The following is a 25595-nucleotide window of genomic DNA, read 5'->3' as shown; positions in this document are numbered from 1 at the left end:
GTATACAACCAAACAATATTACATATTTACAGGTGTATCTAGTCATGGTACACAGACATAGATATGAGGGAATCACTCCACTGTCAAGATAATGGCTGTCTTTTGGGAAAGAGAAAAGGCAACGGAAGAGGGAAGGAACTCTCAACAGTAATAAGTTTATTTTTAAAAATCTGGAGTGAGTAGAAATAGGCCATAAATCCGTTAAACAGGGTGTTGAGGATATGGATGTCTGCTTTAACTCTGTACTTCAAAAAGTCTGCCATATTTTAAAATTAAAATCTTTTTTTTAAATTTTATTATTATTATACTTTAAGTTTTAGGGTACATGTGCACAATGTGCAGGTTTGTTACATATGTATACATGTGCCACGTTGGTGTGCTGCACCCATTAACTCCTCATTTAGCATTAGGTATATCTCCTAATGCTATCCCTCCCCCCTCTCCCCACCCCACAACAGTCCCCAGAGTGTGATGTTCCCCTTCCTGTGTCCATGTGTTCTCATTGTTCAATTCCCACCTATAAGTGAGAACATGTAGTGTTTGGTTTTTCGTCCTTGTGATAGTTTGCTGAGAATGATGGTTTCCAGTTTCATCCATGTCCCTACAAAGGACATGAACTCATCATTTTTTATGGCTGCATAGTATTCCATGGTGTATATGTGCCACATTTTCTTAATCCAGTCTATCATTGTTGGACATCTGGGTTGGTTCCAAGTCTTTGCTATTGTGAATAGTGCCGCAAAAAACATATGTGTGCATGTGTCTTTATAGCAGCATGATTTATAATCCTTTGGGTATATACCCAGTAATGGGATGGCTGGGTCAAATGGTATTTCTAGTTCTAGATCCCTGAGGAATCACCACACTGACTTCCACAATGGTTGAACTAGTTTACAGTCCCACCAGCAGTGTAAAAGTGTTCCTATTTCTCCACATCCTCTCCAGCACCTGTTGTTTCCTGACTTTTTAATGTTCGCCGTTCTAACTGGTGTGAGATGGTATCTCATTGTGGTTTTGATTTGCATTTCTCTGATGGCCAGTGATGATGAGTATTTTTTCATGTGTTTTTTGGCTGCATAAATGTCTTCTTTTGAGAAGTGTCTGTTCATATCCTTCACCCACTTTTTGATGGGGTTGTTTGTTTTTTTCTTATAAATTTGTTAGAGTTCATTGTAGATTCTGGGTATTAGCCCTTTGTCAGATAAGTAGGTTGCAAAAATTTTCTCCCATTCTGTAGGTTGCCTGTTCACTCCAATGGTAGTTTCTTTTGCTGTGCAGAAGCTCTTTAGTTTAATTAGATCCCATTTGTCAGTTTTTGCTTTTGTTGCCATTGCTTTTGGTGTTTTAGACATGAAGTCCTTGCCCGTGCCTATGTCCTGAATGGTATTGCCTAGGTTTTCTTCTAGGGTTTTTATGGTTTTAGGTCTAACATGTAAGTCTTTAATCCATCTTGAATGAATTTTTGTATAAGGTGTAAGGAAGGGATCCAGTTTCAGCTTTCTACATATGGCTAGCCAGTTTTCCCAGCACCATTTATTAAATAGGGAATCCTTTCCCCATTGCTTGTTTTTCTCAGGTTTGTCAAAGATCAGATGGTTGTAGATATGCAGCATTATTTCTGAGGGCTGTGTTCTGTTCCATTGATCTGTGTCTCTGTTTTGGTACCAGTACCATGCTGTTGTGGTTACTGTAGCCTTGTAGCATAGTTTGAAGTCAGGTAGCGTGATGCCTCTGGCTTTGTTCTTTTGGCTTAGGATTGACATGGCGATGCGGGCTCTTCCCAACTAGAAACAAATTGTTGTCACTACCATCAGAGCAAATGTCGAGATTTGGCCATATAGATTTGGTTTGAAAGTTCCCAGAAGGCAGGAGAAACATAAAGAACTTTGCAGGCCTTCAGTAAGGTAAACAATTGATGCCTCAGCGATGAGTTTTCCTGCCCTGAGAGTATTGAGGCCCAAACTGGATAACCATTTTTGTGCCAGAGATTCAGAAGAAGGGATTTGAAAATTAAGTAGGCAGTTCCTCTCTAACTCTAGAGAGAGTAGTAAAAATGGTTAAAGCAGAGTTTTAGAAAAACAAAACTGAGTATAACCCAGAAAGAGAAAGCTAAGGGAGGACGAATGAATTCTGGGTCAAAATTAATACTCGATTCATCCTGAATAAAGGGTTAAAGGAGCACAGAGTCTTCTTTTCATTTTGCAGATGGAAAATTGAAACCCTAATTGGCAACATGTGCTGCTAAATGTTAGCAACTAGGTGCCAGATATTGTTCTGAAAACGTTATTACGCCATGGAATTCTCTCATATACCTTTTAGAAGAGGTTCCATGATAAACTGAGGCACAGGGAGATGATATGACTTGCCTGAGTCACATAGCTATTAAGTGGCAGTAGTACCATTCTGACGCTAGGGTCTTACTATGAAACTTCTGTGGCAGTTTGGGTGAATGATGATGTAATCTTCTGTAATTTGCATTTAACTGCAAACCTTCCTTGGGGTGGACTGGGATGGCATGCCTGGGGGTGAATGAGTTTGAGATCCCTGGTTATCTTGGGTATCAGGTTGGTGACACCCACTAGAGGTTTTACCTCCTCCCAACTCCAGCTGTAGGTGGCCTTGGTGATCCACCTTGTAACTGAGCTCATGTAGTTGCAGAATGGTTGAACAGATGAGGGGAAACCCTCTGAGGCTCTGAATTAAAGTTAACTGCTCCTGACCAAGGATTTAATTCTGGCTTGCCTTTGTGTGCTCAGTGCTGTGATGCCCACGTGTCACATGCAGCATGCATGCCTGTGACAAATGTGTATATTTGGGTCTTTGTCCTCAGTTCTTGGCACACAGCTCCTAAAACCCTGGGAATCTCTGGAGTGATAAAAGTGTCTTTTGTATGCTACTGAGATGGCTGGTGGCCCCTAGGTATTACAATAGTTTCAGGATTCGGGCTGAATGTCGGAGAGACCAAGGCATGATTAGAGGGTTGGAATTGTCCCACTGCTTGACCTCTGGGAGAGGAAAGGGGCTGGAGATTGAGTCAATCATCAATGGCTAATCTGTCATGCCCATGTCATGAAACTTTAAAAAACTCTAAATGGTGGGGTTTGGCAAGCTTCCAGGTTGGTAAACACATTGAGGTGCTGGGAGGGTGGTACACCCAGAGAGCTCACAGAGACTGTGTGCCTTCCCCCATACCTTGCCTGATGCACCTCTTCTATTTGGCTGTTCCTGAATTATGTTCTTTATGATAAACTGATAGTAGTAAGTAAAGCACTTACCTAAGCTCTACAAGCTGTTCTGGTAAATTACTGAGCCTGAAGAAAAGGGTCATGGGAACTCCCGGAATACAGGTGGGAACCTTAGACTTGGCACTGGCAGTGGGTATGATCTTGTGGAACTGGGCTCTTAATCTGTGGGGTCTCCAGGTGGTTAGTGTTAGAATTGAATTTTAGGAGGAACACCCAGTTGATGTCTGGAGAATTGGTTCTTGGGTGGAAGAAGCCCACATATCTGGTGTTAGAAGTCCACATATCTGGTGTCAGAAGTGTTGTGAGTAAAAACAGTTCTTTGCCTAAACTGGCTGTTTTCTTCCTCAAATTTGCAAGTCTTTCCCTTGTATTAAGGTGGTACCATTCATTTTTTAACTGAAGTAAAATAAGCATGCGTTGTCTAATGGTCTTAGCTCCTAGGAGGGACAGAAGTTGGAAGGGATATCCATGAATAGAATTGAGGTCCCAATCCTACAGTTAGTATTAGGCTGCACATTCCCTTGAGGTAGGAAGGATTGGGTCTCACAGTATGTTGATGACATTGGTATATTTTATCAATCCGCAGATAGCCTTTGCTTTAAGCAGAGGAAACACTTAGGTTCTAGACCTGAATTGGTTTTAAACAATGACTTCTGCATGTTGATAGCTCCTAATAACATGGAATATCCTTCTAAATTTTTCTCTGTTCACATATTTGGAGTTTTAAGATGTGTTTTTTCACTAGAAACAATCTTTTTGCAGGTCACTGTTTCCAGGTCAACCTGTTGGTCCATAACACACTTGAGCTTATAATATTCATAGTATAAGGCTGAGGCCTGGATCCTGGAATCCAGTAACCACAGGGAATAGGATTTGGTCCATGGTTTAGTGAGGACTTATGTCTGGCACTTTGCCTGCCTCCTGTTATATTTAACCCTCTCTCCAACTCTCCTCCAGCCCTTGGTACCATTGTGGGCCTTAAGCCCCATCACACTTGAGGCTACCTTAATCTATGATAAAAAGACATTTCCTCTTAGCTGCCAATCTCAACTGTTTTTCTGCAGATGGCACTGAACTGACTTTTATGGGTATAAATACTAATATATCATATTTCTTTTATAGGTGTATTTTCACTTTTAGAAAAGAATTTTGTTAAACCAAACAAATTACTTCTTGGTAAAATTTCAGGTTCCATAACCAAGAATTTGGGAAGTGTGGAATATGAATTGATGAGGCAAGAAAGACCATCAGGCTAGCCTCAAACCCTTCTCCCCATCCACAGTTGTCTTTTTGTATACAATTGTGAATTCCTCAATTGTGGGCTTTATTTTTTTTTTAACAAAGATTACAGAGCAGAGGGGTGGAATAGAAAAGGTTGCATGTGTGAATCAGAATGTTGAATGTTAAATGTTACTTGGACTGAAAAAATTTTCCCAGAAATAATACTTTTGTCCCCATATAAGCCTTTTTGTCCCAGGACACCTGATTTATTTACTATGACCAAAACCAAACACAAAACACTGAAATCAGCCCCAAAGTATGGCAACCCTTTATTTGGGAGAGAGCTTTTAAATTGTATTACAGTGCAGGGATTGTGTACCTTCACAATGAAGATGTTTCTCTCTCATAGTGTTTTCCTCCCTTTTCCCACCACCTTTACAGTAGCTGGTGGATGAATCACCTGTGTGTAGAGTGTATGAATCAGCTGAAAGAATCCCGAGCCCTCAGTTAGCTTTTGTTGGCTGTTAGCTGGTTATTTAAAAATAGTAGGTCTTTGTTTTCCTAAGGGTTGGGCAGCCTCCCATTGGGAGCATGGGCTTGGAGGGTCCTTTTGGCTCTGGGAACAGGTCATCTTTGGTCAGCCAATCCTCTGGTGACTTTAGGAGATAATTCATTCTGAGGGCTGCTGGCCACAACAGAAGGACCCACTGAAGAGGTTGACCTAAATCCAGGCTTTGTCAACCTTAGGAGAGGTGAAGGAGGAGGAAGGGAAAGCTGGTGAAGTCACCTGAGAAAACAGAGCAGATGCTTTCTTGGAAGGTGTGTTTGAGTCTCTGGTGACTCATAACTTTATTCCAAGTTTAGCTTGCTACTAGCGGCATGAAAATATATATATTTTTAGATTCCACCTCCTAGTCATATTTTGGCTTAATGATGAAATTCAATATTTTAAAGAAACACCCAACATGAAATGTGGAACCTCCCAAAGAGTGGGACGGGCTGGCAAGTGACTTAATGATGAAAGACCCCTCCTATGCCTTCTTCCCTGCTGCATGAACACCTCAGCAACCTGGATGGAAGGGCCGTGCCCCTGTGCTTATTTTGAAGTTCTCTTATGGGAACTTGCTTCATCCCAGCTTGTCCCATCCCAGCATGGCAACCTGGCACCATCCTTCGTACATAGCAAGTGTTGTGTAAATGTTAATTGTTTAGTATAACTCCATTGAGGCTCTTGATTCAATAGGCTTTTTCAGTTTGTCCCCCTTCCTGTTGTCATCATCTAACTCAAACAGCTAATACTTGAGGAGGCTTCTGGTGACTGTGGATGGCCTACAAGTGGCATGTGGCCTCTTGCCAAACTGTGACTCTTGGGGGCAGCTGTTGGGCAAGTCGCCATTGGTTTCCCCCACATGCTGTATAAAAATGTCTGCCCTTGGAATAACATATGTCAAGAGCATTGAAAGGATGCAGGGAGAGAAATTGGCGTAGAGTGAGGAGAGGCTCGCCTGTAGATTTGCTTTCAGGGAGGTAGTTGCTTTGATTGGCTGCCCTGGAAGTGAGGGCAGCACCTCCCCGCACCCCACAGATGTCCTCCTTGAGCCTAGATGCAGATCCTTTAAGAAACTGTGTCGTTAACTCGACCTTGTCACTAATACCAAGTTGCTGTAGTGTCAGTCTGCTCCCAAGGGCTTGCTGAGATATTTACTCATAGTTCCTTCTCTCGTGTCTTTTTAAAGCGGTACTGGTTGATGGGTTGTTTCCTGAGTCCAGAGCTTGTTTGGGATGATGAAAATTCTGGACATGGACAGTGGTGTTGGTTGCACAATAATGTGATTGTATTCAGGGCCACTAAGTTGCACATTTAAAAGTGGCTAAATTGTAAACTTTATATTTACCACAATTGAACTAAAATTGTGAAAATGACACTGGTAGCAGGAGCAGCCCCTCCCCATACTTGTCATCTCAGGCATCTGAGTTGTGACTGAACAGCACCATTGTGCTCCTGTGGCAACAAAACCCCTCTGCCCTAGGATAGACTACGCTGGCAGAATTAAGGAGGGCAGGCAGGCAGGCATTCAACTGGAGACGGCCCAGCTGGGCTGTTGCCCAGGGGTTACATAGCAGATGCTTTGCCCTGGACTTGGACAGTCTGATTCCGCTGCTACAGAGGCTCCCGCCCATCCCATGCCACCTTTTGCTGCCAGCTCCCTTGAGACCTGGGCTTCTTCCAGGAGCTGGAGAGTGGCAGGTGGCTGTGCAGAAGAGGAGTCAGCCATTCATAGTCATCCATTCATATTCTCCAATGCCAGTGAGACCAACAGGTATTTGAAAGGGAATGTGATTTCTGTATCCCAGGGTTTGAGGGAAGGGCTCTGCCTCAAGGGGGGAGAATTTGAGGAGTTTTATTTTGGAGCACTCTGTCTTTTAAGTCGAAGTGTGAGAGGGAGGCAGTGGTTGGTCCAAGGACCAAGGGGTGGATGCTCTCATCCCCATCTTCTGATACCTGGAGAGTGTGGGACAGCGTTCTGTGGAGGAAGAGATACCACAAGTTAAGTGTGGTACATTTTCCTAGAATATGAGTTATGAAAGATTCTGGGGGAGACAATATAGACACACATGTGGTGAGGGTGTAAAGCAAGACGGAAAATTCTCTAACTTTCTTGAACTTTTTATTGAAGTAAGATTTATATCCAGAAAAACACATAAGTGTATATCTAACTTAATGTATTGTCACATACTGAACCCACCGATGTAACTAGAACCTGATCAAGAGACAGAACTTACCAGCATCCCAGAAGTTTCCTTTGTGTGCCCTTGCAGTCACTATGCCCTTCCCCAGAGTCACTTGTCCTGACTTCTAACACCATTGTTTACCTTTGCCTGTTTTTGAAATTTCTGCAAATGGAATAGTTTAGTATGTATTCTTATGTCCACATTATAAATGAGATGTGTCCTTGCTGTCACATGTAGTGGTGGCTTCTTCCTTCTCATTGCTGTATAGTATGCTGCTGTGTGAATATACTGGGATGTATTTGTCCATCCTACTGTTAATGAACATTGGGTTTTTTTCTAGCTCTTGGCATTTACAAAAAAAAGCTGCTGGGCATAGTCTTGTACTTGTCTTTTGGTAAACATACGTGTGCATTGCTTTTGGGCATGTATCTAGGAGGAGAATTGCTATGTCATGGGTGTGGTGGGTCTTATGCTCAGCTTTAGCAGATACTGCTGAAGAGTTTTCCAAAATGGTTTTACCTGTTGACACGTTCATAAAAATAAAGGCTTGTTCCACATCCTTGCCAATGCTTGTTTTCTTTTCTTTTAGGCATTATGTTGAGTGTAAAGTGGTGGTGTGTGTAATGGTATCTCATGTTTTTAATTTGCATTTCCTTGATGACTAAAGTTGAGGGCTTTTACAAATTCATGTTCATTATAAAGGTGAAATGTGTCAATCCAGATTTTAGTGGGTGGACAGTATGCATCTACTCCCTCCTGCCATTAGGGGACTTGCATAGAAAAATTTGCCTTAAAGTCCACCAAAATGTGCTTTCTCGCCTTTGTCTGTGCTGTGTCATAATACTAAATGGCATATAGTGATGTAAATCAAGCATGATCGAAAGGCACCTAATCTACTCCCAGGATGCTCAGGGATCTGAAGCTTATTTATGAGAAGGTACCAAGTGCTGATCAATTTCCTTTCCCTGTAGGACCTCCTGTGGAAGGATTTAGTTTAAAGAAACCAGATCTTTGAGTTTGGGAACTCTGCTATAGGCTTTATGTGATCTCAAGCTAGATGGATTCACTTAGGGTAAAGGGAATATTCCCGCTTTCCCTAGGATTCCAGTATTGACCTAGCTTCTGTGTTGTCATCTTGATTCCTCAACTTCCCCTGCCTCCAAGGAAATAAGTCCAGGCTGTGATGCCTTTTGTGCTAATATATGTCTTTTCCGCAATATAGGATGTGCAGTTCTTGTGTGGAATTTCCAGTTCTGGGAGTGTGCTGAATAAAGGTCAATGGATGTGTTATTGTAGTATGTAGGAACCGGAAACTTGCAGTGGGCCTTAGGGTGAAGAGGGTGTCTTGTCCCTGGGTTACAGAGCAAGTGAGCAGCAGAGAGCCCTCCTGACTGCTGTTCAACTGTTCTTTCCTCTGTGCCTTTGTTTCCCAAAGTGCATTTAATGGAATACAAGTGTCTCTCTTGAAGTTGCGTTGTTTTAAGATAAAGCTTCTTTGTCAGGTGTAATTAAGAAATTCTGATTAAACAGATTTTAAAAACTATGTAGTTAAGCATTATGAATCTATAGGAGATGAGTGGGAGATGCAACATTCCTGAAATGGGCTGGACCATTGAAGTCCTTTACTGTGTGTGTGTGTGTGTGTGTGTGTGTGTGTGTGTGTGTTTGTGTGTGTGTGTGTGTTTTGCCTTGATCACGGATCACCTTAGCATCTCATGGTAGGCATGAGGTTTAAGCATCCAGATGCAGGGCCACTCTGAGTTACAGCCTAATTTCTCTTAGAAAGGGACTTCCGAGTTGTAATCTAACATGCTGTGAAGTAGCAAGCGTCTCTGGTTCCTGTAACCCTGTTTATGTGCAAAGCTATAGTGTGTTATACAAACTTGAACGCATAGAGCAGACGTTAGGTTTCATGAACTAGAAAAAATAGTGAAAGACCGACAATAAGAATTCAAGTCACTGATGTAAGTTGTCTTTTTTTTTTTTTTTTTTTTTTTTTACTTTGCCACAATAAATTAACCCTAAGCAAAAACACCAATTGCCATTTACTATCCCCATTCTGTTTCTTAAAAACGAAGACATTTTAACAAGGGCATCCTCACAGCATAAAGAGTAGTCTGTTACATGTAAAGACTGATGACATCTTTGCAGGCATAAAAAGGAAATATATTTAAAAAATATTTCTAATGAGGAAACATTGCCAAAATTTTATTTTATACTATTGGATTTTTTTTTTTTTGCAACATCAGTTTTTTAGTCTGGGCTTCTTTATTGTTCAGTGTAACAGAAAGTGAAGTGTGAATGTCCCAACTGGTTTTCATCACAATTATTGTCAAGCCACTCGCTGGACATTACTTCACCCGATTGGGAATATTCTGAACAATTGAGAGACACACACAGGGAGCTTCTGACTGCATCTCTGGCTTTTCCAGAAGGAGCAGGAAGGCAGCGGGGGCAGTGGACCAGGTGTGGAAGTCACGCCTGCTCGTGGTTAGTTGATAGGAGAGGAATCACATGACCACCTTTTGGAATTGTCTTATTTAGACCAACTGCCGGATCCCCTTTGCTCATTTCTAGGAATTTGACAAGCCCAAGGCTATGTCATGACAGGGACAGGAAGGACAGGAATGGATGCCGGTGTGTCCTGACATATTCCGTGCTCTGAAAAGCGCTTGGGAGGCCTCACCAGGTGGCTGCCATGGCTGTGTGATCTTTGCTTCCCCTCCTCCTGCCACGCCTTTCCTTCCTTCCTGTTTCACCCTCATGCTACTGAGGCAAGTCATGTGTCTTTGGTGGCTGGTGCCCCTTACTCTCAGGGTGTTTGGGCATGGATGGAACATGGTATGATCGTCCACTGCCACCTCCTCAACCTTGTCAGCTTACAGTTCAGCTCACTTTCCGTACAGTTCTGCAGCCAGGGGAAGGATCTTGACGGCCTCCTGAGCGTTTTCCCTTAGTTTAGCAGTGAGTGAGCTCTGCCTCTGGCTGTAGGTTGCTCTCTGGCACGCCTTTTGCAATTAAAAAGAAGAAAAAGGAAATATCTTGCCAACCCTTCTTTCTTGTTGACCTCCCAGCTGTGACTTCTTTTGAGACTATTTTTCAAATAATGAGATCATCCAGGAGATGTCAGTGGAGGGTTAACAGGGGTTTTCCTTGAGGCCTTCGTGGATTCAAATTGCAGTTTGCAGTCAGACTTTCTGAATCAAAGTCCAGCCCTTCTGATCATTCTGCAGCGTGGCATGGCCTGGCCTCTGATGTGCATTTACTGGTAGAGCTGTACATTGCCACTGATACTTCTTTTGAAATGGACTGGTGGTGGCAGGAAGGAATGCCAAGAGCTGGAAGCTGTTGTCCTGGGGTTCTGGCTCCATGCTCCTGTTAGAATGAAAACTCGTCTCTCCTGGATCCAAACTGAGTGCCACAGCTTGTTTTCAGGGGACTTGGGCTTCCTGCCCTGTGTTCTTCTTTCCCCTTTTGGCATCCACTTCTTTGAATCTAGAAGCCTAAAGCCTGTAGTCTGTCTTGGGGAACACAGTGTAGCACTGGTGGAAAGTGTAGGACCTCACACTAGGATCTAGGCTTGCTCTGTCATCGCTGCATGGCCTTGGGCTGAGAGGGAGGCACCTTCTATGGGCTGCAGTCCCCAGTAGTCACAGAAATGAGGGTATTCATGTTTTACCAGAAGAGTTATAAGGATTAGATGACAAAGGTTAGGAAATACCTGCTGCCTTCTTTGCCCTGCTATGAAGAAGGGCAATGATAGGTTAATTTCACCATGGAATTCATGGTATACTCCTGTGTATATGTAGGTGTTTAAAACTTGGATTCTTCATGTCTTGGCACACACCTGAGATGTCTTCCTTCCTTCTCCATCCTGCCTCTTTTCTGTGAAGTCTCTCCAGTCTTCCATACCCATGGAATCCCAAGAGACCCCTCTCTCCCCTGAATATTAGCACTGGGGCAAGGACAACTGGAATGCGCTCCCATGGTCTGTTCTAGCTCAAATGGTGTCCCCTACAAATATCTGAGTACACTTGGCACTAGAGATGTAACTGAGAAAAACAGGTCTCCAGGCCAGGCATGGTGGCTCACACCTGTAATCCCAGCACTTTGGGAGGCCAAGGCAGGCAGATCATGAGGTCAGGAGTTCGAGACCAGCCTGACCAATGGTGAAACCCTGTCTCTACAGGGTGATGGGGTGCGCCTGTAATCCCAGATACTCGGGAGGCTGAGGCAGGAGAATCACTTGAACCTGGGAGGCAGAGGCTGCAGTGAGCTGAGATCATGCCACTGCACTCCAGCCCGGGCGACAGAGTGAGACTCCATCTCAAAACAAACAAAAAAACCCCCAAAAAAACCATGGGTCTCCAATCTCCTGGAACTTATATTTATGGGCATGAGACAGGCAAGAGATGAACCTGATCGTTTCAGATAAGAAAATCTGATAGTGGGGATGGTGGAAAGTGATTAACAGACCTGTTTTTACATTAGTTGGTCGGGAAAAGCTCTTCAAGGAAGGCGATGTTTCAACTGAGATTTACATGACAAGAGCCTTGTGAGACTCCCTGAGCCAGAAGATCAGGGTGCAGATTCAAAGGCCCAAGAAAAGAAAAGACCTATCGAGCTAGAATTGCAGTGTGCTGGATGGAAAGAGATGAGGTTGGTAGAGAGGACATGCAGGATTCAAGAGCCTCATTGAGGAGTTCAGGTTCTATTAATGCAGTGGAAGATTTTAAGCAGGGAAGTGACATCCGATGGGCCCTTTCAAAATGATGCTCTGACTGCTGTTTAGGAAATGCATGGTGATAGGTTTGGCTGTGTCCTCACCCAAATCTCACCTTGAATTGTATCTCCCAGAATTCCCATGTGTTGTGGGAGGGACCCAGGGGAAGGTAATTGAGCATGGGGGCTGGTCTTTCCCGTGCTATTCTCATGATAGCGAATAAGTCTCATGAGATCTGATGGGCGTATCAAGGTTTTCTGCTTTTGCTTCCTTATTTTTCTCTTGCTGCTGCCATGTAAGAAGTGCCTTTTGCCATGATTCTGAGCCTCCCCAGCCATGTGGAACTGTGAGTCCAATTAAACCTCTTTTTCTTCCCAGTCTCGGGTATGTCTTTATCAGCAACGTGAAAATGGACTAATACACATGGTTTGTGGAGGTTGAGAGCAGAAGCAGAGACCAGGTAAGAAGGAGAAGGAGCAGTCTAGGAGAGGAGGGGGTTGGCAGGGTGAATGGAGAAGGATCAGACACAAGATACCTGTTGGTAGTAGAGTGAATGGGCCTTGCCAATGGATTGGATGTGGATAATAGGGTAAAAAGATAGGAAGCCAGGATGATGACATCTCCAGGCTTTTGCTTGAACCCCAAAGTAGATGGAGGTATCATTTTCTGAGGTGGGAAAGACTAGGAAATAAACAGGTGAGGGGTAGGAAAGGATTCAGGGGCTCAATTTTGGCTTTTAAAACTTTCAATCTACATATTACATACCCAAATAAGGGCACTAAGTTGGATATGAGGGTTGAGATCTCAGTGGGAAAGTGGGGGCTCAGCTGCATACATGAGAGGTAGCAGCCATGTGGCTGGACAAGATCCCAGCAGGATTATGTTACATGCACAGAAGAAGGGACAGGGGTAAGTAACAGGTGCATGGACGAGGGGAGCCAGGGAGCTACCCAGCAAACAGGTGGCCAGAGTGGAAGGAGGAAGGCCAGGAGTGTGGTCAAGAAAGCCAAGTTGTTTTGGGAATCTGGCTTCTCACGATGCTTGCATGTAGAGGAGGGCTTGTCCTTCCCAGTTCACCTGGGTTTGAGTTCATTTGCTTAGCTTCCTTGGCTTTTCTTATTTTGCCAGTTCCATCTGGGTGCAGAGTTTTGTTGAGTGATAAAATTGATATAAATTATTTGCTGGTATGCCTCATGGTGGTTTATAATATTTTTATTCTGTCATCTGGGGACCCTTGACAAGGTCCCAGCTTCAGTAGTAGGTACCAAGAATAGCAATGATAGCAATTAGCATTTGTATAATACTTGATCGTTATAAGTATACTTTCTTTTATCCAGATCGCTAAACTACTCAGTCAACTTCTGGCTTCTCCTGTGTGAAGGATTAGGTGAGAGTCCCTTGGCTAGGAGTAAATCTTTGGCTACGATGTGACTCCAACCTGCCTTTTGGAACTTGCCTCCCACCATACCTTTCCACAAATCCCTGGCTTCAACTCAGCTGATGGCCTAGTTGGGCCCTTTCCTTGCACACTCCAGCCTGGAATGTGAGCCCTGGTTGCTCTCCTGCTTCTGGTCTTGCAGGCCAAGTTCTCTTCTGGGACTTCCTCCTGGACTCTTCCTTCCTCCAGTGGGAGCTCCCTATTGGCATCTCGGTGAGCTGGTTCCACTCACTAGATGCAATCCTGTACTGGTTTCCAATAACTGTGTGTCCTGCTGCTTACTTTCCATTGATGATTAATGTTTTCTGTTTTTATGCTTTGCCTGCTTAACTACACTGTTAGCAAAAACCTTAGAATGCACCATAGTGCCTGGTGCTGTCATCTCATGCCCACATGAGGTGTTGAGTATCTGATTGGAATTATTCTCTTTTGATGCCCTTGTGAGGTAAGATAGCTCCTACAAATGAGGAAACTGAGGAAGGACGTGGGCCAGCAGTTTATCCCAGGACACAGAGCAGTTAGGTTTGGGGCCAGCGTTCACACCACCAACCCTCATTTCTAATTTCCCCCCAGGCTACACTCCCTGAATGTGATGCCCTTCCCTACTCACTCTTGTCTCTCTCCCACATAAATGGGGCTGCTTTTTCACCAGCTGCTCCACAGACTTTGGACTGGATCCCTGAAGCTTGGAAGAGCCTCAGCTAGACTGTGGCCTATTGTCTGTGTCCTCACAGGTCAGAGGCTAAATGTTAGTTTTTTTTTTTTCTCTTTTTAAAAATGGTTCCTGGTTATGTAAGTTGCATATATACTCTAATCACTTTTTGCCTGGGCAACCACAGAGTGTCCCTCCTCCATAACATCAGTTCCCACAGGACTGAGATCAGTGTTTTCTGAAGTCCATGGAGAACTTCCAAAGGGAGTGCCTAGAGAATTAACAGGGCCTAGTGGTACCAAGGAGACCTTGATGACTTCTAGCTCCTATTTCCCTTTAGCCCAAGCCTTAGAGGGTTGCTTGTCCCCAGTGATGGAAGCTAGATGGTCTGTGTTATGCAGCACATTGTAGAAGTCAGCTGTTGATTTGTCTCCTGTTAACAGAAATGGGGCTGGAGCATGGGACTCAGTGAAATTCCTCTCAGATGCTCCCCTATAGCTCTTAAGCCTGTGCTAAGGATCCTGCTCTTGGCATTCTTCCATTTAGTTTTAGAGAAACACAAAACACTGTATTCATTTAACACACCCATTGCTTCAGAGCTTTCTAAATTTGTAGGACCCAGAAATTCCCACAGAACCAGGAGTAGTGACAGATAAGACCTAGAAGTTACAGGAGCTATGGCTGTGCTAACTCTGCAGAGAGAAGTGCAGTGTCATCAGACTCCATGCTGGAGTTTGAAGACAGAGCTGCTCTTCCTTGTGCCCAGATGTTCTCGAGCTGGTGACAGCCCTGTGCTGATGAGTTATTTAGATAGTACTATTTTTAGCCTTTCTGGTGGGAGAGAGGCCATAGCTTCTTGCTATGAGAAGCAAGAATCTATAGTGCTAGAGTGTGTGTGCACGCGTCCGTCCATTCAGCATCTGCTTCAGTGCTTTGCAGGCCCTGTCCTGTATGCATGGGGCATCATGATGAACATTTTGTCTCTACCCTTGAGGAAATAGAAACATCTGTACAAGTGAATATAGTAGAATTCAAGGCTGTTATAGTAAAAACACAGAGAGACCCCTGGGGCAAGCATGAACAAACAGTCTTGACAAAGGGAGTAATGTTTATGCTGGTCCTTAAAGGGTGAATAACAGTGGAGGAAGGGAGGAAGATATCTTCAGCAGAGGAACCAGCATGAGCAAGGCCCACTGGCAGGAAAGCTCAGGAAGGATTTAAAATAGGTTAGTGCTGGGCATGGTGGCCCACACCTGTAATCTCAGTATTTGGGGAGGCCAAGGCGGGAGGATGGCTTGAGCCCAGGAGTTTGATACCAGCCTAGGCAACATAGCGGGACTTCATCTCTACAAACAATACAAAAGTTCATACAAGACTGTTTGCAATTGGCCCAAATGTCCCAGCTACCCAGGAGGCTGAGGCCAGAGGAGGCTGCAATGAGTAGTGATCTCACCACTGCACTCCCACCTGGGTGACAGAATGAGATCCTGTCTCAAAACAGGTGAATGTGGCTGGAGTGTGGGATGAGATGGTATGCAGGCAGGGGGCAGTGGGGGTGTGCAGGGGCCGGGGGGTGCAGGTAGGATGGGGATGTGGCCAGAAAAATCATTTGGGCCAGTTGCGAACAGTCTTGTATGAACTTATCCTGTAAATGACATGGACATTTTTAAGCAGGGGAATGGTATCGTGCAGGATGAGGTGTTTTTGTTTTTGAGATGATTCTAGAACAGAATTTCTCAACTGTGGCATTAATGGTATTTGGACTAGATAATTTTTTGTTGTCAAGGGCTATCCTGCGTGTTGTGGTATGTTGTTATAGCGGCATCCCTGAGCTCTACCTACTAGATGCCAGTAGGACCCTCTCCCCAACCCTTGTGATAATCAAAAATGTCTAAAGACATTGCCACGTGTCCTCTGGGGACAGTTTTGTCCCCCACCCCAGATGAGAACTGCTCTAGAAGCAAGCAGTCTAGAAAATCAGTTGGAGTGGGAACAAATTGGTTGCAGGAAGACCAATTAAGAGTAAATTGCAGCTGGGCGCGATAGCTCACGCTTGTAGTCCCAGCACTTTGGGAGGCTGAGGCGTACGGATCACCTGAGGTCAGGAGTTCAAGACTAGCCTGGTAAACATGGTGAAACCTTGTCTCTACTAAAAATACAAAAAAATTAGGCAGATGTAGTGGTGGGTGCCTGTAATCCCAGCTACTAGGGAGGCTGAGGCAGGAGAATTGCTTGAACCTGGGAGGCAGAGGTTGCAGTGAACCGAGATCACGCCCCTGCACTCCAGCCTGGGTGACAGAGTAAGACCCTGTCTCAAAAAAAAAAAAAAAAAAAAAGACTAAATTGCAATATTTCAGGTAAGAGATGAAGTCCAGAACTAAGGCAGCAGAGTGGAAGTTGAGAGTGGATCCTGAATTTGAGTTTGATGTTGACATTATCTGGCATGTTCTAGGTGCCTGAATAAATAGGGATGAACAAACAGGTCTTGGTGATTGGTTGGAACTCTTCAATTAAACTTGAATATTGGGTTGGGCTTGGAGAAGTAGAAAGAGCACTGGCTGGGGAGTCAAGGTCTATTTCTGGGTTCAGTTTTTTTTAGGGATCTGAGCATATCTAGGTTCCTTAACTTCCTGGATCTCAGTGTCTTTCATCTGTAAACTGTATCTAAGAATCCCTGTGCTTCCTGTCCCATGGAATTCTAGGAATTACTATTTGCATAAGCCCTTTGAAAACTGCAATTACTCTCTAAACAGTGCTCTTCTAGTGGTACCAGGCTGAGGAGTGAGGGCAACGGGGACAAGCATGCTCAGACATGAGTGTGAGAGAGAGATACTGTGAATAGACAGTGGACAGTGTGTCACATCTAGCTGTAGACTAATGGACGGTGAGGCTGGACAATACTGAAGACTCGGGGGATGGGATGTTGGGACTTGGAAGGGAAAATTTTGCCAATGTTGTGGTGCTTAACGTCCCTGCCGTGAGTGGTGGAACTCTGTCCTGACATGATGCTGTTCTTCATCCTTACGTCAGCAGTGAAAACAGACTCCAGAGCTCAGCGTTAACCCAAATAAGAAGGTTCTCTGTTAAACACAGACAGATAGTAGATAATAGCAGGAGAGGGAATGGCCAATAAGGGGTATGTTTTAAACATCCAATGGTTATTATTATTGCTATTTTTTTTTTAACCGGGGAACATTGCCCTTTTACCCATTTCCTACTTGCACCCAGGACAGTTTTTGGACTCCATAGATGAGTGTTCTTGGGCTAGGCACTGATCCTCCTGGGAGCCTTGTTTCCCTTACCTGCTAAATAATGATAGAACCTACTTATTCTGAAAACAAAGCACTAAACTGATTGACTTCTATGGTCTCTCTGATTAGAGAGAGGCCTATCTGTTGAGCCACAAACTTTGACCTTTCCATGGATATATTAAAGGTGGACATTAAAGATGTTGCCCTGGGCAACCGTCTTACTGGGAAGCAGGAAGGTGGTTAAATGATAAGTGCAAATGGAGTGTTGAGAGCTTAATTTAGTTAACCTACTGATTGGGAAAACCAAGGTCAGGAGAATGTGAATGATTTGTCCAATGCCGTTTTGCTATTTGGATGCTGAGGGAGGTCTGTGTGCCTTGGTAACTTATTGACCAGAGCCACACTTCTTCTTTCACACCAAGACCCAGTTGCCTTTTGCTTGACATCTCCAGCTCCATATTCTCAGTCATCCTGGAAAGAATAAATGTGACGTGGTCTGTGTCCAGAACCAGCGTGCTTCCTTTTCTTTCATTCTGTTTCCTTCTATGCATTTCCAGTTTACTTAAGGTGGGACTGCTTGGATCACTTAACTTTGTTGGAGGAGTTTTGGTCAGTCCTTTGTGATGTTCTCCCAGACTCTGATCTATGGGGGCTTGGACCCCAGGAAGGCCTTGGAGCCAGGGCAATGGCAGGGGCCACTGGGGAAAACTAATGCTGTAGATCTGGGATGTGTCCCTATTTTGACACCTAAGTGGTGGAAAGAATACAGTATGACTCAGGCTGTATCCAGAACCTGGATGATTTAACACCTGGTGTGGGTTTCTATTTTAAGAACTAGATGTATACTTGTTAAAATAGGGATGTGCACATATTTCAGTATCTACCATTAATCTCACATATTTGACAAAAGCTTTATTGGCTACCTAGTATGTAAGGCATCTGTAAGAAAGTGAGAATTTTATTGAGGAATAGGGTTTGCTTATGTTGTCCCAGAGATTCTGAGCTCCTTTGGATTTAAAATATTTCCACTCTAAAAGTGTTGTGTGTGTGTGTGTGTGTATATGTGTGTATATATATATGTATGTACGTGTGTGTATATATGTATGTATGTATATGTGTTCTAGAACATGTCTGTAGTGTATACTTGGTAAGGAAAACAGCACCAGCAAGACTGGAGTGCTTTTGTGTTACCTATCCCCATGGGTCACTGTTCTTAATAGTAATTGTCTTAGTCCGTTTTTAGTTGCTATAAAGGAATACCTGAGGCTGGGTAGTTGATAGAAGAGGTGTATTTGGCTCATGGTTCTGCAGACTGTACAAGAAGCATGGTGCCAGTAAATGCTTCCAGAGAGGGCCCCAGGCTGCTTCCACTCATGGCAGGAGACAAAGGGGAGCCAGCATTTGTGGAGATCACATGGCAAGAGAGGAAGCAAGAGAAGCAGGGAGGTGCCAGGCTCTTTTTAACAATGGGCTCTCACGGAAACTAAGAGTGAGAACTCACTGCCTTCCACCCTGGAGGGCATTAATCTATTCATCAGGGGTCTGCACACGTGACCAAACATCCCCCATTAGGCCCCATCTCCAATATTGGGGATTGAATTTCAACATGAGATTTGGAGGGGACAAAGATCCAAACTATAGCAGTAGCAATGGTAACTGGGACTCTGAACAACAGCTTCTGAGGGCAGCACCGCTCATCTGATGGGTGTGTACATGCTGCTCAGGTTTGGGTTGAAGGAAGGCAGCAGGCAAAGGCTTCTCCTTGTAATCCTTGGGTCCAGCCATAGCTCCCATGTACAGATAGAACAGGAAATATAACCGATCTTCCCATTTACTTCATAACTCCTCAAATGGTTTTCACAGTGACAGCTCTCTTTTTGTGCAAAGTTTTAGATTGAGAAGATGGGGCCCATCTCTCATTTTACTTTTTCTCATTAAGATGAATTCCCCCTTCCATCTTCATAGTAGAGTGGATAAAGGGTACATTTCACGCAATCTCATCTCTCCTTCTCTCTTCCTAAACTCTACTAAGTCTTTTCTTATGAGGAACACAGAGTGTCAGGCCAGTTATCTTTAAAGTTGCAGACACAGTTTTCAACTGGACATGAAAGGACATTTCAGGATAAAGCTGCACCTGAATCTCTCTAAAACATGTTCATTTGGCCTAGAGGAGTTTGAGGTAGCTGTGGTCATCCTAGGGGATCTATGGTTATCTGACAGCTCAATTTGTTTGATATTAACACTAGATAGAGCTCTCCAGAGAATGATTCGGTTCCAAATAGGCAGGCTGTATTATTGATAGTGTCTGCTCAGTAATTCATCTCAGAAGCAGGATGGAAATCGGAGGCAACTTTTTAAGGTCTTAGGGTAATAGTAATTTAAGCAGCAGATACCCACTTAACTTTCCTAGCTCAAAAGTCACAACTGGTTTCATGGCTGCAACTCAGTGTGTGTGTTGATTCGGGAACATTTTTTCCTTCTGATATCCTAGAATTTTAGATGGTATTATTGTGCCGTTTTGCTAATGTACCCAGGTTGAACATTTCTTCTCTATTCTTAGCATTAAACTTTTCCATTCAACCCTCTGAAACAACAAATTAGCTCCATATTGCCTTATGCAATGAAAAAAGTTGGTAGACCTGGTTGATGATGACATGAAATAATACATGAATAAGGAGGTTTCAAAACTGTATAAGTATTTCTACAGAAGTGTGGTGGGAATGGCAGTTTAGCAATTGGGTGTGATACAAGTACCAAATAAAAAAGGAATATTCAGGGGCAGAGTTTCAAAGACAGTTTGTATGGGGATAGTGGTAGGACAAATGATGTCCATGATTTCGTATCATTGTTAGTGCTCATATGAGGACAAAGGGAAGGGACTGGGGTTATGCACATTGCAAGACTGAACTATCTTGCTGATAATAATTCTTCCATATACACTCCATCTGTAAATCTGATATTTTTATCATGGAGTTTTGACCATGTCCTTTCCCATGTTTGAAATCCATGTGTAGTTTTCCATTGGCTATAGAATACTTCAAAAAAATCTGTAATGTGACCCCCAAGAACCTACTGGATCTGGCTTCTGCATCTCTTGCCAGTGTCATTTTGAGCCCCTTTCACCACTGTCCTCTGTCTCCCACCCACACTGGCCCTCTTTCAGTTCCTTAGCGAGCCCTCCTCCTTCATGCCCCAGACTTATCACACAGGTATCCTCTCAGCCTGGAAACCACCTCCTTCCACATCTTGCCCAGCTACCTCCTTATCCATCTAGGATTCAGCTTGAATCATCTCCAGTGAGGCCTTTCCCGATGACCCACAGTGGGTTGGGTCCCCTGTCACATGCTGTGAATGTCGGTGCTGTTGATGCATTTATGACCATTGCAGGAGATTAGCCGCATGTGGTCCGGGATCCTTGAAGGGCCCTGTGATATGGTTTGGCTCTGTACCCCAACCCAAATCTCATCTTGAACTGTAATCCCCATATGTCAAGGGAGGGACCTGGTAGGAGATGAGTGGATCATGGGGGCAGTTTTCCCCATGCTGCTTTGCCTACAGTGAGTGAGTTATCATGAGATCTGATGGTTGTATAAGTGGCGGTTTCCCCTGCACTTTTTCTTTTCCTGCCACCTTTTGAAGAAGGTGCTTGCTGCTGCTTCGCCTTCCGCCATGATTGTAAGTTTCCTGAAGCCTCCCCAGCCATGCAGAACTGAGTGAATGAAACCTCTTTCCCTTATAAGTTACCCAGGCTCTGGTATTTCTTTATAGCAGTGTGAAAACAGACTAAGACATCATGTCTCCTCTTCACTGTGCCCAGCACCTCGCACAGTGCCTGGCTGTTGTGTAGAGGTCTTCAGTAAATACTTGTAGAGGATTAGGTGAACTGGAGTCCATGGTCCAGTCTGTAAGCCTTGGTAACCTATTAGGGACATATAGGAGTTGAATGTTTATTGAACAGCTTCAAAGATAGGTGTTTGACTAATTGGAGATGGGGGAGACTGACATGCTCCTGTGGAAGGAAAATTGAGAGCTCGCTTGAGTCCCAGATGCAAGTATGTGAGGTGTGTAAGTTCTGAGATAGGTCATCTCTTGAAGACAGAGTAAGGACAAACCAACTCATGCACCCAAATACAAGGTGCAGTTTCCCCCAGGTTATTTCTTAAGAAAGAGTGGTGCTCCTATGCTTTCTCTTAATAATTTTGGTCAGTGAAGTGGTTCGCAGAAGAGAACTTAGCCTAAAATAACTTCAGTCAGTGCTTGCTTTGGTTGTTTAGAGAGGTCAAGGAATGGAACAGGTTTTTAAAAAGAAAAACGAAGCAAACTTAGACTGCATAAATATTTATAGGGCTATGACCTTTCAATAAGTGTTATGGTGATCATAAACTGTTAAGGTTGTTTCTCTGGGGAAAGCAATATACTGGTCTTTTATAGAGATGAGAATGTAAATCCACTGGATGAAGAGGAAAACAACTATCCTGTGATAGAATCAGAAATGGATTTTAAAAGTTGGATTATGTCAGTGAGCTTTGAAAATGAAGGTGGTATGCTCTGGAAAACTATCTTAAGTGACTTAAAGATTTTTAATATGATAGTAGATTGCTTAATTCATATACTTGATTGCTCTGTTTAGGGAGGTTTGACAGTCTAGGAGCTGAATTATGGAAGTAGGATTTTAACAGTTTTAGCTACTTGATTGGATCTGGACATATCCTTTAGCTGCATGATATGCATTAGCTTTGAGGAAATCTTTTTTAGCTTTTTTGGCAAGCAGGTTAATGGATTCAGCATTGCAGCCTTAAAAAGCTGACTTACTGTGGACACATCCCTTTTTAAATGGGAGCTTTCAGTGATCTTTCCACTTAGGCCATTAGGTCATTCACAGTCTCCAAAGAATGTTCCCTTGTGCTCAATTCAGACTCGGGGATTTACAATCCAAGTTCATTGAAAGTGGACATGCAGAAGGTACTAAACTGATATGTCTGTTGTCCAAGTAGATTGTGGGAAGTCTTGAAGTGAGAGCATGACCGCATTGCTTGATAAGTATTTCTAAGCCTCTGCTATCACTGCTTCCCTCACCAACAAGTATACTACTGGTATAAACCAGTTGGATAAAATGATTCAGCAGTGTTCCTTGTACACCAAACGCTTCCCATCTTGTCAGTTCATCACCTGAGGACACACTGCTTACTCTGTTAACTACATTCATAGGGCAGTAAACAGGTAAATTTTGCCTTCATCAGCCACATGGAGACTCGATTCCTTATTAGCTTCAAATATAGATATAGAATGTGTGATAAATGGAATTGTGACTGACACAATGAGATATCACAGAAAGTTGACTCTTTTCTGAAGAGACTGGGTTGAGATGATACGATACATACGATACCATAGCATGTGGATTTGCCTTTTGGTTATAATTGACTTTTGTTTCATTTAAATGATAGGAAATGTTGAATATTATTATAATTGTGCTATGTGACTATGCAGTTACCGCATCAGAGCGACTCTTTCTTCTCTGCTTTTTTCTCCTCTCCCCCGAGGTTGCTCAGTGGCTCTCTGCTGTCCCCGTCTGTGTATATTATGTTATAGTTCTTTCTCCTGGTGCTCTGCATACCCTAGTTCTCTGTCATTTAAGAGAAAACAGCAGCAAGATAGGGAGGCATCTGGGTGGGACTTGGGAGTCTACCTAATGGGCTCAGAAATCATACCTGAATTTTTAGTTACTTAGGTGGCTCTGGGCAAATGGGATATTTACATGTAATTCCTTGTGGCTCTAAATTACAGGGAGCTTTCCAGTGGAAAGCATTTGGGGAAAGGGGAAGATTATTACTGGTTCAGGAAGACTTTAATGGAAATGAGTAAACGGAAACTCAGAAGCATGGCTCGCCGCTGGGGGAGGAGGAGTTAACTCGGGAAATAATCTGGAAGCGCTGAGCTTCTCTGTTCCCATGACACTTTATACGCACATGGTTCTGTTGGGATTCTTTGGCTGGCTGTGCTCTCCTAGAGGGAGTCCTCTCTGGTTTTATTCACTCCCAGGGCCTGAGTCCTGCCATAGTAAGAACTACTAAGCACTTAAAATGTGCCAGATACTGGGCCAAATATTTCATATACATTATTTAATCCTAACAACAACCCTGGTGCAGAAGACATTTCCACCAGATGATGAAATACCTTCTGAGGAAGCCGAGCCTCAGAAGTGTAGACTCTTACCTGATGATGGGAGTGGGGACCAGCACCCTATATCTGAATCTTCACCTCCTTGCTCTTCTGTCTCCCATAGTGGGAGCCCAGCCCAATAAATGTGAAGGGAAGATGACCAACAGCACACCAATGGGAATGTTCTTGATTTGGGCTCCCCAAATTTGCAGGACTAATCATCACCACTGGGTTCAGGATGCGGTGTCTGGGCCCATGAACACTCCTTCAGACAGCGGTACCTGTAGAAATGATTGTGAGTTCTACTGGGAGGGGGTGCAGGGCTTAATTAATCTTTATCTTCTAAATTCTTACCTTGCAAAAGAGTGGAGTGTGTCCCACTTTGTGCAAGCACAGTTAGGTAAGGTGTTTTCATAGTTCCTACAACACAGCAGTATCCTTCCAGGTACCAAGCCACTTGGGAAACTGCTGTTTTGCTGGTGTTAAATGAAACTATTAGTTTAGAAATGTTTTTTCTTCCTTCTTTCTTCTGAACAGACCAGTGTTCCTGTTCTTGGTCCCCTAATCACAGGAATGGACAGGGAGTTTATACTGCCAGCTATCAAGTTAGGCTGTGGGATCCCTTGTCCATTCCCAGGGAACTCTGCCCAGACTGCCCTGCTTCCGGTCAAGGCGTTGTTGCAACTGAAACATCAGCCTGTCTGATGCTTAATGCTGAAACTACCTGTGGCTTAACTTGGCGTATCGTTGTTAATTGGCATTTGTACATTTTTTTTTTTCATGTGTAATTACAAAGCACTTTACCTGTATAAAATACATACTCAGCAGGACTCTGGGCTGCTGTAAACAAATCAATATTTCTCCAGGAGTGGGGTAGACAGTGGAGGACTTAGAGACTGAGATCTTTTCTCCAGGCCTGCTTTTGACTAAGCTCTTGGCAACTTGGGCAAATTGTTCAGTACTTTTAACCCTCAGGTTTCTCCTGTATAAAAGAGGATTGATAACCCTGCTCAACCTAATTCAGTTTTGAAACTAAGTTGAAATGACTCAAATACTTAAGATTACTTATGTTAGTAGGAGGGGATGGAAGTAGCATTATTATTAATTCCAGGGAGTGCAGGTTTCAAATGTCCCTGTTCTCTTCTCCCTGAAGGTCCACCTTGGCTCCTGAGGTTCACTCTGAGATAGGAGTTTTAATTCTGACAGTGCATTCATCACTTGGGAAGTTTTTTAAAAATACAGTGTTTGGGCCCTACCCCCAAAGATTTAACTATTCAAGTGTGGGATATGGGTGTTAGTGGTTTTGTTTTTTAAAGATCTGAAGATCTGCAGATAATTCTTGTATGCCAGCCAGCACTGAGAATCAATTCTCTCAGGTTTTTGGAGTAGAAGTAGGCTAGAAGTAGGTATTGATTTTTAAGGTAAGATGTGGCTACCTATGTATTATGACCTACAGGACATCTAAAGGATCCCAGTAACATGGACCACCTTAGGTTTCTTATTTTCCTTTTCTCATTTTCTAATTCTATCCAAAATCCCATCAGGATTTCTCGACAAAACTGTATAGTAATATCACCATCATCATCATCATTGCCTAATACTTATGTGCTGTGATAGTGGGCTCTCATTTAATTCTTAGAACACTTCACGAGGTAGGTAGAACTTTTACCTGTTGTTCAGCTAAGGAAACTGGGGCTCAGACCCATTCATCAACTTACACAAGCTAATAAATGGTGGTTAGAATTCCTCTCCGAAGCTGTTTGACTCTAGAGCCCGCACACTTGACCACAGTGCTACAGCCTGATAATTCATATATATGGATAAATGCTGTGCTCTTCTGGACATTGTATTTACATTTTAGCTGGGGCTCTTTGGGAAAGAGTTCTTTAGCTCTGGGGAAATAATCTGCAGGCTGGAGTTTAATGTTTAACCACACACTGGTAGGGAGAGGCCTGCAGCACATGAAGGTCTGTGATACCCTTCAAATCTGTTACCCAGTCAGCCACATGGAATTACATTTTCAAACTTGCTTGCATATTGAATTCATCTGGGGAGCTTCAGAAAACACTACCTGGTTCCCACCCCTAGAGGTTGATAAAAGTAGGATGGGGTGTTGCCTGGCAATGGGAATTTGTGAAAGCTCCCTAGGTGGTTCTAATATGTAGTCAGGATT

The 25595-nt window shown here is 43.5% G+C and overlaps 1 protein-coding gene and 1 pseudogene across 1 annotated transcript in view, besides 2 other annotated features; one reads left to right on the top strand and one right to left on the bottom strand.

Moving 5' to 3' along the window:
• MYO5B (myosin VB) overlaps positions 1-25595 on the top strand; it is a 372359-nt gene that overhangs the window by 108781 nt on the left and 237983 nt on the right. The window lies entirely within an intron of this gene.
• Positions 10294-10588: a silencer, noted in NCBI's record as "tiled region #3103; K562 Repressive non-DNase unmatched - State 24:Quies, heterochromatin/dead zone". NCBI's record gives its function as "represses a minimal TATA promoter and a strong SV40 promoter by Sharpr-MPRA in K562 cells {active_cell/tissue: K562}" and the evidence as "EXISTENCE:reporter gene assay evidence [ECO:0000049][PMID:27701403]".
• Positions 11612-12158: an enhancer, noted in NCBI's record as "NANOG hESC enhancer chr18:47600579-47601125 (GRCh37/hg19 assembly coordinates)". NCBI's record gives its function as "activates a minimal SCP1, AML or CMV promoter by ChIP-STARR-seq in naive H9 embryonic stem cells {active_cell/tissue: H9 hESC(naive)}" and the evidence as "EXISTENCE:reporter gene assay evidence [ECO:0000049][PMID:30033119]".
• Positions 21881-22575, bottom strand: ADAD1P2 (adenosine deaminase domain containing 1 pseudogene 2; annotated as a pseudogene).

This window comes from Homo sapiens, chromosome 18 (genome assembly GCF_000001405.40).
Source record: "Homo sapiens chromosome 18, GRCh38.p14 Primary Assembly".
In the NCBI taxonomy this organism is placed as follows: Eukaryota; Metazoa; Chordata; class Mammalia; order Primates; family Hominidae; genus Homo; species Homo sapiens.
The sequence above is the reverse complement of the archived record's forward strand: the minus strand, read 5'-3'. Positions and strand labels throughout refer to the sequence as shown.